The 16,119-nt window shown below is 40.6% G+C and overlaps 1 protein-coding gene and 1 long non-coding RNA gene across 6 annotated transcripts in view, besides 2 other annotated features; both read right to left on the bottom strand.

Annotated features, from left to right (window-relative positions):
* RAB18 (RAB18, member RAS oncogene family) overlaps window positions 1-11,014 on the bottom strand; it is a 37,936-nt gene extending 26,922 nt beyond the window's left edge. For all 5 annotated transcript variants that reach the window (NR_046172.2, NM_001256410.2, NM_021252.5 and 2 more), the window contains exons 1-2: window positions 10,881-11,014; window positions 5,388-5,443 (exon numbers count right to left, since the gene is read on the bottom strand). Coding sequence is in view for 4 of the 5 variants with exons in the window: in NM_001256410.2 (NP_001243339.1) it covers window positions 5,388-5,443; window positions 10,881-10,948 (124 nt within the window). In the remaining variant the exon portion in view is untranslated. The remainder of the gene's footprint in view (window positions 1-5,387; window positions 5,444-10,880) is intronic.
* LOC124902399 (uncharacterized) lies at window positions 10,226-10,873 on the bottom strand. Its single transcript, XR_007062097.1, has 2 exons — window positions 10,594-10,873; window positions 10,226-10,339 (listed from the first exon to the last, which is right to left on the bottom strand). It is a non-coding gene; the product is annotated as an uncharacterized LOC124902399 (long non-coding RNA).
* Window positions 10,879-10,938: an enhancer, noted in NCBI's record as "active region_3188". NCBI's record gives its function as "activates an Ori minimal core promoter by ATAC-STARR-seq in GM12878 lymphoblastoid cells {active_cell/tissue: GM12878}" and the evidence as "EXISTENCE:reporter gene assay evidence [ECO:0000049][PMID:35858748]".
* Window positions 11,049-11,318: an enhancer, noted in NCBI's record as "active region_3187". NCBI's record gives its function as "activates an Ori minimal core promoter by ATAC-STARR-seq in GM12878 lymphoblastoid cells {active_cell/tissue: GM12878}" and the evidence as "EXISTENCE:reporter gene assay evidence [ECO:0000049][PMID:35858748]".

Raw genomic sequence — 16,119 nt, 5'->3', positions numbered from 1 at the left:
AAAAAAATAAAAAACTTAAAGCGAATTGTGCCTATTTAATCAGATTATATAAAATTAGTATAACTAATTTCTACAGGATCTAATTTCCATGCTTACCAATTCCATCTATGCTACCAATTACTTAGATAAGTACCTAAGGACCACCATGTGATCCTGTCACAGCAGAAAAAGAAACCTAATACTATCTTTTATCAAACACTCCTATGTAATAAGCAAACAAACAAACAAAAAAACTGGTCGAGATATTTTTGCAGGCTGAGAGCAGTGGCTCACACCTGCAATCCCAGCACTTTGGGAGGCCAAGGTAGGAGGACTGCTTGAACCCAGGAGTTCAAAACCAGCCTGGGCAACAGTTTGGTGAGACCCCATCTCCAAAAAAATACAAAGATCACCCGGGCATGGTGGCACGTGCCTGTAGTTCCAGTTCAGGAGGCTCAAGCAGATCACTGGAGCCCAGGTGGGTGAGGCTGGAGTGAGCTATGTTTGTGCCACTGCATTCCAACCTGGCGACAGAACAAGACCCTGCCTCAAAGAAAAAAAAAAACAAAAAAACAAAAAAACTTGCAATTTTGTGTGTATGAATGTTTATTTTTATGTCAGAAATGTTATCTTGTACTACATTTTTAAATATTTGTGTTTCATTATGTTTCCTTCTTAGTCTCAAATATGCATATGTTGGATTTCCTTTTCTGATTTCCATATCTATCATTTTCTAATTCGTTTTAACATTTTCATTAATTTTGGTAAATTCTACCTTTTTCCATTTCTAGACTCTGTCTCTTATTGTATTTTCCACAGTTCTCTATTATCTATGTGATCCTTTCAATTTCATCTTCATTTCAGTAATAGTTTTATTTTCTAATTTCATTTATTTTTCTTTCCACTCAATCAGCTTACCTTGCATTTTCTCATGCAATCATTCTATTTCTTCCCCGGCCTCTTATGTCAAGTGCGTTGTGCTCTCAGCAGTAAATACTTCATTAAGTTTTCTAAACTCATGGCAAAATGTTTGATCACAATATTCATCTTCTTTATGGCAATATTTTAGGTTACTGTTCTTCATCTGTCCTTTGTTTTTCTGTTTCTTTCTTCCTTTTTTATTTCCAAACATTTGTGGCAGTCAAGCTTAATGAATTCCTTTTGATTATTCATCTCTGAAGAAGTGCTGGTTGTCCAGAACCTGATATTTGTAGGAGGTTTATGCAGAAGGCCAGAGTGCCTCCAGTTCTGGACTGACAACTTTTTCGTGATTCAGAGATTTACCTAAGAGACAGTTTAGCATTTTACTTCTCAACAGCCAATGCAGACAGGCAGTCTGGAGGTTTTTCACAATGCAGTCATCTCCTCCCCAACTGCTATAGAGATAGACACATATTACTTCCTGCAAAAATGGCTTGTTTATGTGACTCCTTGTTTGGCTTCATTTCCCCGACTTCTTAGAATTAAACCAGGTGCAGGAAAGCTCCTGCCTTGAGCTGAAGAAACCCACTTCACTTTTGTAAACAAGGGGTTTAGGTTTTATACCTCAGGGGGGCCTTGCAGTTTCATGGGTGTTTCTTGTTGTCTCTGAGCTCCACAGCCACGGCATCCTACCTACTTCTTCCCACATGCAGCCAGCCTGATGGCCACTGCTCCTGGCAACATTTCCACCTATTTTGTGGCTTGGGGTTTTTAACTGTCTTCTAGTTTAGTGGAATGCTGGGTTTGTGTGTCAGTTTTTCCCTCTCTTTGTTGTTTTTAGCTAATTGCCAAGAAAGAAGAATGCTAACTTTATAGTACCATCTGCAAATCCCAAATCCAACAATTATCTTAAAAGAGTATTTTATGCAAGACAGAAACTTAAGTGTCTCACTAAGTTACTAAAAGGTAACAATACACTTTCCTTACTACTATTTTACTGTGGGGTAAAATACCAATTTTCATAAAACACTAATTTTCACAAGGCCATTAAGTAATTGTTTTTATGTTTAAAACTCATGTGTGGGCTGGGCGTGGTGGCTCACACCTGTAATCCTAGCACTTTGGGAGGCTGAGGCGGGTGGATCACTTGAGGTCAGGAGTTCAAGACCAGCCTGGCCAATATAGTAAAACCCCATCTCTACTAAAAACATAAAAATTAGCAAGGCATGGTGGCACACACCTGCAATCCCAGCTTCTTGGGAGGCTGAGGCAGAAGAATCACTTGAACCTGGGAGGCGGAGATTGCAGTGAGCTGAGATCATGCACCACTGCACTCCGGCCTGGGCAACACAGCGAGACTCTTGTCTCCAAAAAAAAAAAAAAAATATATATATATATATATGTTATTACCTAAGGCTGAAAGTAATCTGATGCTTCAATGTAAAAGATATTTTGTTCAACATATTCAAGATCTAGGGCCTATTTGGGGAACAAATTACATATATTTTCACCAGCATACTATAATCTTAGTATTTGTCTTTGCAGAAGACAAAGCCTTTTTAGTAATAAAGACAACCCACGATTTGTCATGCCACAAGTCCCCAAATTCCATTTGGGTTTGTAATGAAGACAGTTAATATTATATGTATGTTCATTCCTTCAGTAAAATTTTAACTTTAGGCAAGTTTATTTTCCTGCCAGTTGCTACTGCTCTCCTCCTGGCTAGCCAATACCAATACGTACTCAGGCAGGTTCTGACCAAAATAAGGTTTTACTACTAAGTAATTTTTTATAGGAGTAAATAATACACCAGTATGGGCACAGTGGCTCACACCTATAATCTCAACACTTTGGGAGGCCCAAGGTGGGTGGATCACTTGAGGCCAGGAGTTCAAGACCAGACTGGCCAACATAGCAAAACCCATCTCTACTAAAAATACAAAAATTAGCCAGGTGTGGTGGTGCATGCCTGTAGTCCCAGCTACACAGGAGGCTGAGGCACCAGAATCACTTGAATGGGGAGGTGGAGGCTGCAGTGAGCCAAGGTTGTGCCACTTCACTCCAGCCTGGGCAACAGAGCAAGACTGTGTCTAAAAATAAATAAATAAAATTAAATAATAATAATTATTATTATAATACAACAAAGCCAAATTACAATGGATTTTGAATTCGTGTTTTAAATGATTCCCTTTCCTATGACACAAATAAGAGTAAATCTGTAAATCTTAATATCATGCAAAAGCTAAGTAATGCCTAATTTATTGAAAATTTAGAGGCACCATGAGTTCATATGAAGAAAAAGAAACAAACAAACATGAGCTCCTCCTGAGCTGGGCATGGTGGTACATGGCTGTAGTTCCAGCTACTTGGGAGGCTGAGGCAGGAGGATCACTTGAGCCCAGGAGTCTCAGGCCAGCCTGGGCAACACAGTGAGACACTGCCTCACAAAAAAAGAAAAAAAAAGAGCTCTTACTTACAGAATTCCAAACAAGATACATAGACAGAGTGATGGCATTTTAAAAAAATCCCCATTTGATAACCATCACAGTTGGAATGAAAAGATCATATACTGTCCTTATCACTTGTCACAGGCAAGAATTATCAATGGATGCTACAACAGGAGGGCAAAAAGTGTAAGAAGGAGGATACCTATACAGTCTCAATGTATCTCTCTACAAGAAATATATTAGTTATGAAGGGAAAAATAATAACTTCACTGACACTATGTTCTGAAAAACACTTCTGTGGAATTGCTGCCAAAACTGCATAACCTGAATCTAACCGTTAAGGACATACTGGACATACACAAATTGAGAGACATTCTACAAAATAATTATTTACTCTTCAAAAATGTCAAGGCCCTGAAAAGGCAAATAAAGACTGAAGAATTGCTGATTAAAAGAGGCTGAAGAGGCTCGACGCGGTGGCTCACACCTGCAATCCCAGTACTTTGGGAGGCCGAGGTGGGTAGATCACTTGAGGTCAGGAGCTCAAGACCAGCCTGGCCAACATGGTAAACCCCGTCTCTATCAAAAATACAAAAAAAAATTAGCCAGGCGCAGTGGCATGTGCCTGTAGTCCCAGCTACTTGGGTGGCTGAGGCAGGAGGATCACTTGAACCTGAAAAGTGGAGGTTGCACTGAGCTGAGTTGGTGCCACTGCACTCAGCCTGAGCGACAGAGCTAGACTCTGTCTCGAAAATAAATTAATTCATTAATTAAATGAAATAAAAGAGGCTAAAGAGAAATAACTAAAATCAGTGTATGATCCTGGACCCGAAACAATTATTTGTCTTTTGCTATATGGGACATTAATGGGACAACTGATAAAATCTGTGTATAGACAATAAAATGTATCTATGTTCATTTAAGAAATACACATTAAAGTATGCAGACGTTGAAGACATCATGTCTACAATCTACTCTCATTTTTTTAAAAAAGAATACTGTGTGTAGAGAGAGAATGATAAAGCAAATGTGACAAACATTAACATCTGGAGTAATTTAATAGGATACATAAGAATTATTTGTGCTATTTTTACAAATCTTTGAGTCTGAAATTGTTTCACAATAAAATTTTAAAAATAGACATACAATCAATGAAAACAAATAAAGCCAGTTAACAGAAACTCTTTATTTTCCCTAACAATAATGCTAGGATCATCTTTACTATATTCTCCTCATCAGATCATGAAATTTTAACAAAACCTCCCAATTTACAGATGAAGTTAGTAAGTTAAGTGACTTCATCAAGATTACATGTAATTCAAGGCAAAGTCAACCAAGACTATTATCTAGCTCTGACTCAGCTCAGCTACCTTTCAACTATTCCAAGTGGTCTCTTCATCCCTTTACGTTGTCTGCAGTCTAAACACATGATACCAAAATACTTACCTCTATCTTCTCATATATTCTCATAAGTTAGTGTGACTAACCACTTTCAGGCGATCTAAATCTTATCCTTAAAAGGCATTTAAGTATCATTGCTCCTAACAATCCTTAATAACTAGTATCAATACATATGTGAAGATAAGAATACACGTCAAACACTGTAGCAAATGCTGAACATACAAAATTAACACACTCTGTTAGGTCCACGATGACAGAGACCAAGTTTGTTATTCACTATTATAACCCCTCCTCTTAGTAGCAGTCCCTGGCATACAATAAGTATTCAAATAACTGTTGTATATTACAAAATAAAAGACAATCCATAGTATAGGAGAGAAATGTGTGTACAGATAATCACATTAGCAGTTTTAATAAAGTATCATGAGACAACAGATAAGGAAGTTATTTTCTCTTGGTAAGATCTAGAAAGGCTTCAAAGATTTAATGATACCAAAATTAAGTCTTGAAGGACAAATAAGATTTCAACAGACATGGAGGCAGTGGGGTGGTGAGAGGAAGGTAGAAGGATTTAGATTAAAAAGGCCAAAGGCAAGAAAATACTGGCCATTTCTATAGAATTTTTAAACACAGGCTTACCTATTGTTGCTGCAAGTTCTGGATCAAACGTATCATCTGTGAACCTCAAGAGCAGGCTGAAAGAGATATTAAAAAGACAGGTTGGGAACTTGAATTTTCTAATCATATGATAAATGTGTTCATGATTATTTGGTCACAAATTATTAGATGCAGATAAAAATAACTGATGTAGGCCTGTTCCTAGGAATACTGCCTCAGAGCAGGTATACACAGAAAAATTAAATTACCAGAAAGGCAATTTAAAAATCCCAAGAGCAAAGTAGTTTACTATGAAATATATTCCCCGTGCTCTCCTACACAATCCCCCAAGTACAAAAGGTGGGGGTTTTTGTTGTAGTTGTTTTTTAACTGTTCTGGTATGTCCTTCTGAGAAAATGATATTAGCAGCATGTCATGCTTTAACTGACATAGATGAAAAGGGAAAAAATAAAGTCTCTTAGAATGCAACAAACTAGCTTTAAAAAATCTGATTGTGTAATCCACTCTGAATTCAAGCAAAACCAGAAATATATCAAAGCCGAGCATTCTGTAACACGCAGTACGGCTACTACCTAAGAGAAGATACAGTAAAAAGAGAGGTTAAAAGAAAGATCACAGGACAGAGTAGATAGACTCGGGCAAACACTAGGTAGAGTGTGTAAAACCAAGTAGGCAACTGGAGGCTACTGGAGGCTTTTAAAGAAAGTTAAGACAAGTACTGCTCTTTGTTTTGAAAAGTTAATACTAACAAAAAATGGAAGAAAATCAATGGAAGACAACCGCCATGGTTATGGCAAGAGAGAACAAAGGACTAAACCTAGGAAATGGTAAGAAACTAGAAAGAAAGGATAAAAGCAAAAGACACCAGATTAGAAGGGTACTCTAAGATTTTACATCTTCCAGAATTATTTTACTTACTATGAAGCAGAAGTGTCAGTTATTAGAAACTCTTCAAAAATAAAATCTAAGCTTTTGTTAAAGCCCTTGATTTTAAAGTCATTCAATCTTCCCTCATGTTAACTTCTGAAGTATAAGACTCTCCTAATTGACCTGTTTGCATGAATAAAATCAAAGAAACAGCCATCAGATATCTAAATTATAGAAAAATCTTATGACTCTTTCTATAGGTTGTGATTATTGCTGGTAGAGGTATGTTTTGTCCATAGAGTTTCTGCAAAACATAATGGCCTCCTGGTAGTTTCCAAACCCAGTGTCATTAAATATATTTGAACGATTAACTCTCCCTTACTTGGTTTTGTTTTCTTGTGTTTACCATAAAACCAGCATCATAAAATCAAAGTAAAAAAGAAGAGTCAAATTCTAGATTTATCTACTTAACATCTTGACTATATTTAGTTACTTGGAACATAGGTAACAATACTAGTAAGACTCTTAAAGACTACCTATAAAATTTTTCTTCTCTCCCAACATACTCAGTTACCCATAATTTAAGAAAAGATACATAATATCTACACGTGGTCACCACAGAAAATATTACTACAAAAACATAAGATTACCTTGTAGACTAGTTGTAATAATATCATAATAATAATACAATAATGATGATATTGGGTATTATTTATTGAACATATGGCAATGTGCAGACACAAAGCCAGAGGTTTTTCTCTCATAATTGCTAATCCTTAAATGGCCTTTGTTATTAACAGTACTTTGTAAGGAGAGGCAGGGAATTGGTGGCATGGTGTGAAGCAACAAATTTTAATACAGGCTCTGGGTATACATCAGATCTTAGACAGGGGTACCCTGGTAGCCCAAAAAGTATTCTAAATTCTATGTGTGCATTTTTCTAGGCAGAGAGTCCATTTCTCTATTAGACTTTGAAAGGGACAGAGAGTCCATTTCTCTATTAGATTTTGAAAAGAACTGACAATCTCAAAATAATTAAGAAGCACACTTTTTTTTTTTTTTTTTTAAGAGAGAGGGTCTCACTCTGTCACCCAGGCTGGAATGCAGTGGCAGAATCACAGCTCACTAATCCTCCCACCTTAGCCCCCCAAGTAACTGGCATGACAGGTGTGCATCACCATGGCCGGCTAATTTTTTTATTTTTATTTTTTTAGAGGCATGGTCTCGTTATGTTGCCCAAGCTGGTCTCGGACTCCTGGCCTCAAGAGATCCTCCTGTCTCAGCCTCCCGAGTAGCTAGGATTACAGGATGAGCCACTGCACCTGGCAGAAGCACCATTCTTATAGTATTGTATATTTACACCCTCATATTTTCAAAGTTAAAGGAGCAAAATGTTTCCCATGCAGAAGTAGAGATGGAAGGAGTAACTACCACCATGGCACTTAGATGTGACCAAATTTATAATAAACAGAGTGTGATTATAACTAATCTGCATTTTTTAAATTTACATATGAAATTCACCAAAAAAAAAAAAAAAAGGGAAGGCAAGGGGCAAAGGAGGGACAGCAATTTAGATAATAGGTCTCTCTAATCCCTTCCAGTTCTTGATATATTCTGCTACTCTTTACCTTACCAGGCCTAGCCACAGAATTGGAGTCTTACACATTTAGGGTCTGAGAGGTTTCTATTCCAACCCCCTCGCTTTTGAAATGAAGGCCTACAGCATTCAAGTATCACACACAAGGTCACACAAGTGGCAGCCCCAGTTTCATAATCCTGATCTCCTGACTACTATCACATACCCTTTAGACTCTAACACTATGAAATCACTAGAAAGTAATCCACTAATTCGGATTAAACATATCCTTTGTTTTCCCCAACAGCACAAGTGCTATCTCACTTCCACTAGCTCCAGCTCTGTAATGAAATAGAAACAAACTTGGTTAAAACAATCCTTTAAGATCATATCCACAGCAAATGTTTTTGTACTAATTCACTTTAAAAGGCATAGACTTCTATTTCAGTGGAGTCATTTATTCTCATCTTATCCAGAGTGTTTAAGATTGTTTTCCACAGCATATCACACAGGCCAATAATGTATATCTAGCTAGACAAATAAGACAACTTTCTCACTATATGTAATCCTTTCACAAAAGAAATAAAGTGACAAAATCCTGCATCGAGCAGTTGATAATCCATTGCTACGTATTGAGGAAAAAGTTTAAAACAGATTAGGCCCACGGTAAATTTGTTTCTTTGTTTCGGTGGCATGAACTAGGGAGACTGATAAATCCACTTAACAGGCCTTACTCTACAAGGAGAACCTCGGTTGGGTGTCATGCCTTGTGTCTGTAATCCCAGCACTTTAGGAGTATGAGGCAGGAGTTTGGCTTGAGCCTGTGTGTTGGAGACCACCTGGGCAACATAGGAAAATCCCATCTATGAAAAAAATTTTAGAAGTAGGGCCGGTTGTGGTGGCTCATGCTTATGTTCCTAGCACTTTGGGAGGTCAAGGCAGGAGGATCTGTTGAGCTCAGGAGTTCGAGACAGCCTGGGCAACACAGTGAGTCCTCCTCTCTATAAAAAATAAAAAAACACTAGTCAGACATGGTGACTCGTGCCTATAGTCCAGCTACTCAAAAGGCTGAGGTGGGAGGATCACTTGAGCCCAGGAGATTGAGACTGCAGTGAGCTATGATCATGCCACTGCACTCCAGTCTGGGTGACAGAATAAGACCCTGTCTCAAAAAAACAGCGGGTAGAGCAGAGGAATTTTGTTTATATACTCCAGTTAACCTTCCAGAAAATTTTAACATACCCTAACTTGTCATCCATGCAATACATTTAGAAAAAGTGCTAACCAACCATGTATTGGGTTGAACTACATGAAATGACAACCAACCATTCTTGACTTCAAAAACACTAATTTCATATGCCTGAACTTAAATGAGAACGATATCTCAAGGAAAAAAGGAGAAAAGAAAAAGAAAGATCACAAGGCTGTGAAATTCCTATTAAGACAACGTTTAACTTTTTAACACTCAAATATGTATGTGCAATAATAGATGATCATGTAAATAATTTTACTCATGCCTTTTACACACACACAGACAAATCATGCTGGTTTGCTAACTCATAGTATTTCATTATTCTATTCCTTGGTATGTGCAAATCCTTCATTCCAGTAGACACAGAGGACATTACATGAGGAACACTATGAAAATGTGTTGTCAAACTGGTGGCTCACGCCTGTAATCCTAGCACTTTGGGAGGCCGAGGTGGGCGGGTCACGAGGTCAAAAGATGGAGACCATCCTGGCCAACATGGTGAAACCCCATCTCTACTAACAGTACAAAAGTTAGCTGGGCATGATAGTGCGCGCCTGTAGTCCCAGCTACTCGGGAGGCTGAAGCAGGAGAATCGCTTGAACCCGGGAGGCGGAGGTTGCAGTGACCCGAGATCGCGCCACTGCACTCCAGCCTGGCAACAGAGCGAGACTCCGTCTCAAAAAATAAATAAATAAATAAGTAAATAATATCAGAATATATTACATAAGCTTTCAAATTCTGAAGAAGCTTTTAAAAAGTAAGACTTTATGAAGTGACTTTTACAAGTTATTTGAGGAGAGCTTTCATTCTAGTTTGTAGAATTAAGGCTATTTCAATTTATGAAATACAAAAAATTATTTGAAAGATACGTGTATCAGAAGGTATAGCTAAAATATGAAACTGATTACAGCCCCTGGAGTGCAAATGTGGTTTAAGGATCAGGACGGCCTTGAACATAACCTACTCATAATCAGATGGCAAGAATGACATCAGCTGGAGAACTCTCTTCCAAGACCTGGATGAAATCACAGCCCTCTAGCAACATCCACCTAGATCCATGTCTTACCTTATACTCAACTCCACTGTCAATATTATTTTCCCCAAGGAAAAAGTAAAAAATGAAAGCACAACACTAATCTTCTGTCTCCACAGGATGTGGCAAAATGAGAAATAACAATTACATTTTATTTTCAAAGGTGGCCCACGGCTGAAGCACTCGGACCTTACACTAAAGCGAAATTTTCCAGCAGTCACAAGATCCAGTTCTTTCACAGCCGACTAATAAAAAAGTAAAAGAATCGACATTAAGCTGCGCCCAAACAGGCCAGGAATGGGACCTAAGGCGTCACGAAACTTCCCGAGGACATTATGTATTTAGAGAAGGCCCCACAGAAACCCTCAAGTGGGAAAGCTATGTCTCCCGGGTCTCGGGGTGGCAGGCAGCCTGAACCCCGAGAGGTTCGAGGCAAGGCGCCCCCGGCCGGATTCGGGCCCAAACCAGCCCGCCACGCCCTGAGCTCCGCGCAGCAAACCTGCCGGCCGAGCGGCGGCCCTCGGAATGGTGTTTTCTCGGCGCTACAGGAGGGAGAGCGACCCAGAGAACTTGGGCCTGGCAAAGGCCGGGAACCAGGCAGGCGCGGGTGGGGAGAGGAAAGCAAACGTCGCGGGAGAGCGCGGCCCAGAGGCCGAGGAGGGCGCGAGCGGAGCCGGCCCGAGCCCGCCGCTGCAGTTTACAGTTCCCGTCGCGGCCCAGGAGACAGCAGCCACCGGGGCAGAAAGAGCCCAGCCACCCTCGTCACGACCCGCACCTCCGCCTCACCTGGACTTGCCCACCCCACTCTCGCCGATGATGAGGATCTTCAGGGTGGTTAGCACGTCCTCGTCCATCCTGACCCCGTTCCGCTCCGAGCCCAGCTGGCCGCCCGGGTGCGCCTCTCAGCCCTTCAGCAGAGTGAGCTGCTGCGCATGCGCGCCGCTCCACGTCTGCCACCTTCCTTTCACACCGGGTGTTCAGGCTGCCGAAGCCCTGGACTCCCCAGTTCCGCCTTGAGGTAGCTCCACGGCTGCGCGACCCAGAATCCCCGGCGTTTTTCCGGACTGCGTGTTCCTCCCCTGCGCAAGCGCAGGTGGGGAGCGCTGTGTGTGACTTTGTTGGCTTCTTCTTGAGGTCTAGCTCCGCCCCAGCCTCAACCTAACCCTCCTTTTGAGTCAGTGGGAGGACTCAGTCAGGAGAATATCAAGCTGTTTTATTTCGGCAGCTGCTCATAACAGCTGCACTGCGGTGGGAAAAGCACTGTGCTTGAAGCAGATTATCTTAAATTTAGGTCCAGCTCTACCTTATAACTGCCTTGTCATACTACCCAGCTTTCTTAGCCTTTCTCCATCTCTGAGAGACACAGTAACACTTCTTAGAACATCTGCTTCTTATTGTTATGAAGGTTAAGTGAGTTAATTTGTGAAGACATGTTGTTAACCAAAGTGCTCTATAAAAGGTGTGATCAGGTATTATCTTGCTGGCTTCCCCTCTGTTATAGTGGAGAGCACCCTCTGCACCCTAATTCATCTTGAAAGGGAGGCGTAGACTTCAGGTAGGTCAGGTGCATTACTTCTGGCGGTGCAACTTCAAGTCAACTCTCCTTCCTCATAAGAACTGCTACACCCATACTGCAGGAAGTGTATGTCTACACCTTGCCTCCTGCATTAAGTTGTAAATCTTAGTGAAGGTACCAAACCTCATTCATAATACTTAGCACAGTGCCTGGTACATGGCAGGCACTCAATAAACCTCAGTTCTCTTGTCTTATTTCCTTATACCTGCAGCTAATGTCATATACAATGGATATTTGATTAAAGACTACATATAAATAAAATTTCAAATGTTAAGAAATTAATTTGTTAAATAGCTGGAAAAGCCCTTTCAAAAGATATCCCAATGGCTTCTCCTCCTTCAGGTCTTCGCTCAAATGTTGCATTCTTAAAGAGGCCTTCCCTGTCCATTCTACTGAAATATGCAAATCCCTCCAGCATTCTCTAGACCTCTTTACATTGTTTTTCTGCATAGGATTTAACCACTCTCTGATACACTATATATTTTACTACTTTATTAGAAGTCTCATGAAGGCAAGGATATTTTGTTTTGTCTACTGGTATGTCTTCAGTATCTAGAGTACTTCATGGCACATAATATGTGCTAAATAAATGTATGCTGAATGAATTAATTGAATGAATGTTGTAGAGTCCATTCCTAACCTTAGAGAATAATGTCAATGAAACAACCTCCACTTCTCATCAGATAGCCCTTGAAACTTCAGTCAAGTCTATCTAGCTTACTTTTCATTATGACAAAAAGATCTTATTTATGAGGTTCACAGTATTGTCAAGCTCTCCTGCCCTGGGGTCCCGAGATCCCTAGAAATCCCTGAAAACCTTTCAGGGGGGTTGCAAGATCAAACTATTTTCATAGTTAATATGTTATTTTTTCATGCACATTCTCTGATGATAATATAATGGAGTTTTCCAGAGGCTATATATTAATAACATGTAATAGCAAAACAGATTGAAGGCAGAACAAGATATGTGAACTTACTGGTTTTCTATGATATTAAGCCAGATATTAAAGGGATTTCCTAAAATGTAAAACATTGCCACTGTTCTCAATTTTGTTCTGTTTTAAAGTAGTTATTTTCATAAACATTTCTATTAACTGGTAATAGGTTTATTATTGTTTTTAAGTAAATTAACATGTTTGAAATTTTCTCAGTTTTAATTTCTAGTAGGATAAATAAGAGATGTAATCTCTTTGGGGTTCTTACAATCAAAAGCTCTTTCAGGTCCTCAATGATTTTTAAGAGTATACTATAATTTGTACAACCAAAAAGTGTGAGAACCATTGCACTGTGCTATTCACACCAAGATAAATACAAAAACAAAAACTTCATCAATAAATCCAGGGCTATCTCTTGCAACCTGTAATACTGTTGACGTACTTTGGCAATATCATTTTCTCTTGGATTTCCTCCATCTCTTGGCCATTTCCTCTCTTTCTTTTTCTTTTCTTTTCTTTTCTTTTTTTTTAAGAGATGGGATATTGCTATGCTGCCCAGGGTGGTCTCTAACTTCTGAGCTCAAGAAGTAATCCTCCTACCTCAGCCTTTGAGTAGCTGGAACTGCAGGCATGCATCACCACGCCTAACTAATTTTTAAAACATTTTTTTAGAGATGGGGTCTTGCTATGTTGCTGGTCTCAAACTGCTGGGCTCAAGCAATCCCCCTGCCTCGGCCTCCCGAATTTACATCTCTGGCTGAGATTTTTCTCCTGAGGTTCAGGCCAACATACACAACTGCCAAGACATCCCCACATGGGGGCTGGCAATAAAGAGATGTACTTAAAAGACACAATGAATAACTGTCCCATGCTTAGTGAAGAAGAGGGGAAAGAAAAGGGAAAGAAAAACATCGAACATTTCTCTAATGTTTCAAGCCTCGGCACTACCAATCTGAGAGAAAACCCAAGACAGAAACAAGAAGGAATATGAGTTTCGTTTCAGCCATAGTGAATTTTATGTAAAGGTGAGCCTTGAAGGCAAAATTTTTCAGACCTCTTTTAGAGCAGTGGTTCCAAGATTCAGGACAGATAGCAAGACACTAAAAAAATGAACCAAGGAGATGGCCTAGGTGTTCTAACCAACAATTTGGCCTAGGTGTTCTCTTCTATATACTATTATCCTTACATCCCTGGAAAACACAGCCAAATCCTTTCTTAGGTTTCAGACATAACTGACTGCCCTTTTCCCTGTGGATCCATCTTCTAGTATTAATTATTTTTACCATATCCAAATATATGATCACCTCATAAAGGAATGTCTATGGCAATATTCTTAATACCTGAAGTTTGGGATGAGCAATGAGCAAGCCCAGTATGTAGGAAGAAATTGAAATGGCGAAACCACTTGGAGATGTGATGGAGAAGGCCCATCCCATGTTGCTGTCAGTAACATGCCTACAGTGGGCAGCCCCAGAGATAGACAACAGATGAGAGAAAAAAACAGATTCAGGCCTTTGACTTTTCTCCATCCTTCGGCATCAGTAATGAAGATAAGAGAAATGCTGCTTGCAGAACTCACATTCTGTGAACAGGTACCAACATGAGCACTGTGACTCATGGCTTATGTAGGACTGCTTGGGTCCAAGTGTAACAGGCGTCTGTGGCTAGAGTTTAGGAGTTGGTAGTGAGAGAAGTCATACAGCATTGCCACCTCCGCCCCCAGCTCCATTGCCCCTGGCTGAGCTGAGGTTCCGAAACAACCCCCACCCTCTCCAGGTACTGCTTCTCCTTGCCTCGGTTGATATGCACAGGAGCTTTGGTATGCAGTCAAGGAAGAGATTACTTTTTGTTGTTGTTGTTGTTGTCGTTAGAGATAGGGTTTCACTATGTTTCCCAGGCTGGACTCAAACTCCTGGGCTCAAAAGATCCTCTTTCCTTAGCCTCCCAAGTGGCTGGGACTACAGGCACATTATACCATGCCTGGTTTAAAGAGGAGTTCATTTCGTTGTTTAATTATTTGGGTGAAGGCTTGGGGATTTGAGAGAAGGGTTAGAAGTAAATTCTGTGGAAAAGGTAGCTGAAATGTCATTTTGACCACTTGGGTGGGGTTTTAGCCCTATGATTAGAGGGGTCAGGGTCAAGAGCTGGAGTAGCTACTTTAGGCTTGCAGCCTGACACAAGCAACTCTGTCTGAGGGCCCGTGGGACAGGATAGCTGGGGCTGAGAAGAAGGTCATTGCACTATTTTTTCCATTTGACCCAAGACCCTTTTCCAACCTTCTCTGTTACAATCTATATAATATCACCTTCTACCAAGGAACTTATTTTACAGCAGAAGTGTGGCTGTGGGCTCAGGCATGCCCTTGGACTTCACTGGTGTTGTCACCAGACCCCACTTCAGGAAGCAGCTAGTATGATAGACAATGGGATGGCCCATTGCCCACTCAGTTAAGGTGGCAGCAGGGAGATAATATTCTGTAAGGTTGCACTGCTGCTCTATAGGATGTAGTAAAAACTTTAAACCTGCAACCTACAAATGATGCTGTTTTCCTAATAAAATTCACAGTCAATGAGGAGCATCTGACCTCCTGGATCATTACATGTTTCTCTTATGTGACTCCCACCCTGGCCCTAGCACTTAGTGGGCTATGGTAACATTATTTTCTGCCTTTGCTTCCTCAGATCTAGGGTGGAAAAGGCTGCCTACTGAAGTTAATTTCTGGGTTCCTCACTTTTTGGTGGCCCTAACCTGGCCATGCTGCTGTAAATAGTCTTTTGGTTATACTCTCTTGAGATATCTGAGTTAGATTTTCTTTCTTGCTGGGACCCTGACTAACCATTCTATTCATTTATTCATTGACCTGAGCACCTAAAGCTCACTTCCTTGGAAGAATTAAGAGATAGCATCTTTGGCACAAATATTAGTGTTTTCAGGAAAGTTACCATCAGCAATGATGATGAAACTTTTTTTTTTTTTTGAGACAGTCTCGCTCTGTCACCCAGGCTGGAGTTCAGTGGCACCATCTTGGCTTACTGCAAGCTCCACCTCCCGGGTTCTCGCCATTCTCCTGCCTCAGCCTCCCGGGTAGCTAGGACTACAGGCATCCGCCACCATGCCCAGCTAATTTTTTGTATTTTTAGTAGAGATGGGGTTTCACCATGTTAGCCAGGATGGTCTCAATCTCCTGACCTCATGATCCGCCCGTCTTGGCCTCCCAAAGTGCTGGGATTACAGGCGTGAGCCACCGGGCCCAGCCAGTGAAACTTTTTTAAGAGGCGGTTTCTCGCTAATTCCCAGGCTGGAGTGCAGTGGCTCTTCACAGGTATGATCATAAAGCACTGCAGCCTCTAATTCCTGGGCTCAAAGGATCCTCCCACCTTAGCCTCCCCAGGAGCTGGGACTGTAGGTGCATGCCACCATACCCAACTCTGATTACACAACTTTAAGAGGCTTTGTGGGCAAAAGGCATCAATCCATGATAGCATGAGCAGGAGGAAAAGATGGCAGAGTCGAT

The sequence above is a fragment of the Homo sapiens genome, chromosome 10 (assembly GCF_000001405.40).
Source record: "Homo sapiens chromosome 10, GRCh38.p14 Primary Assembly".
In the NCBI taxonomy this organism is placed as follows: domain Eukaryota; kingdom Metazoa; phylum Chordata; class Mammalia; order Primates; family Hominidae; genus Homo; species Homo sapiens.
Note: the sequence above shows the minus strand (reverse complement) of the source record. Positions and strands in the feature narration are given on the sequence as shown.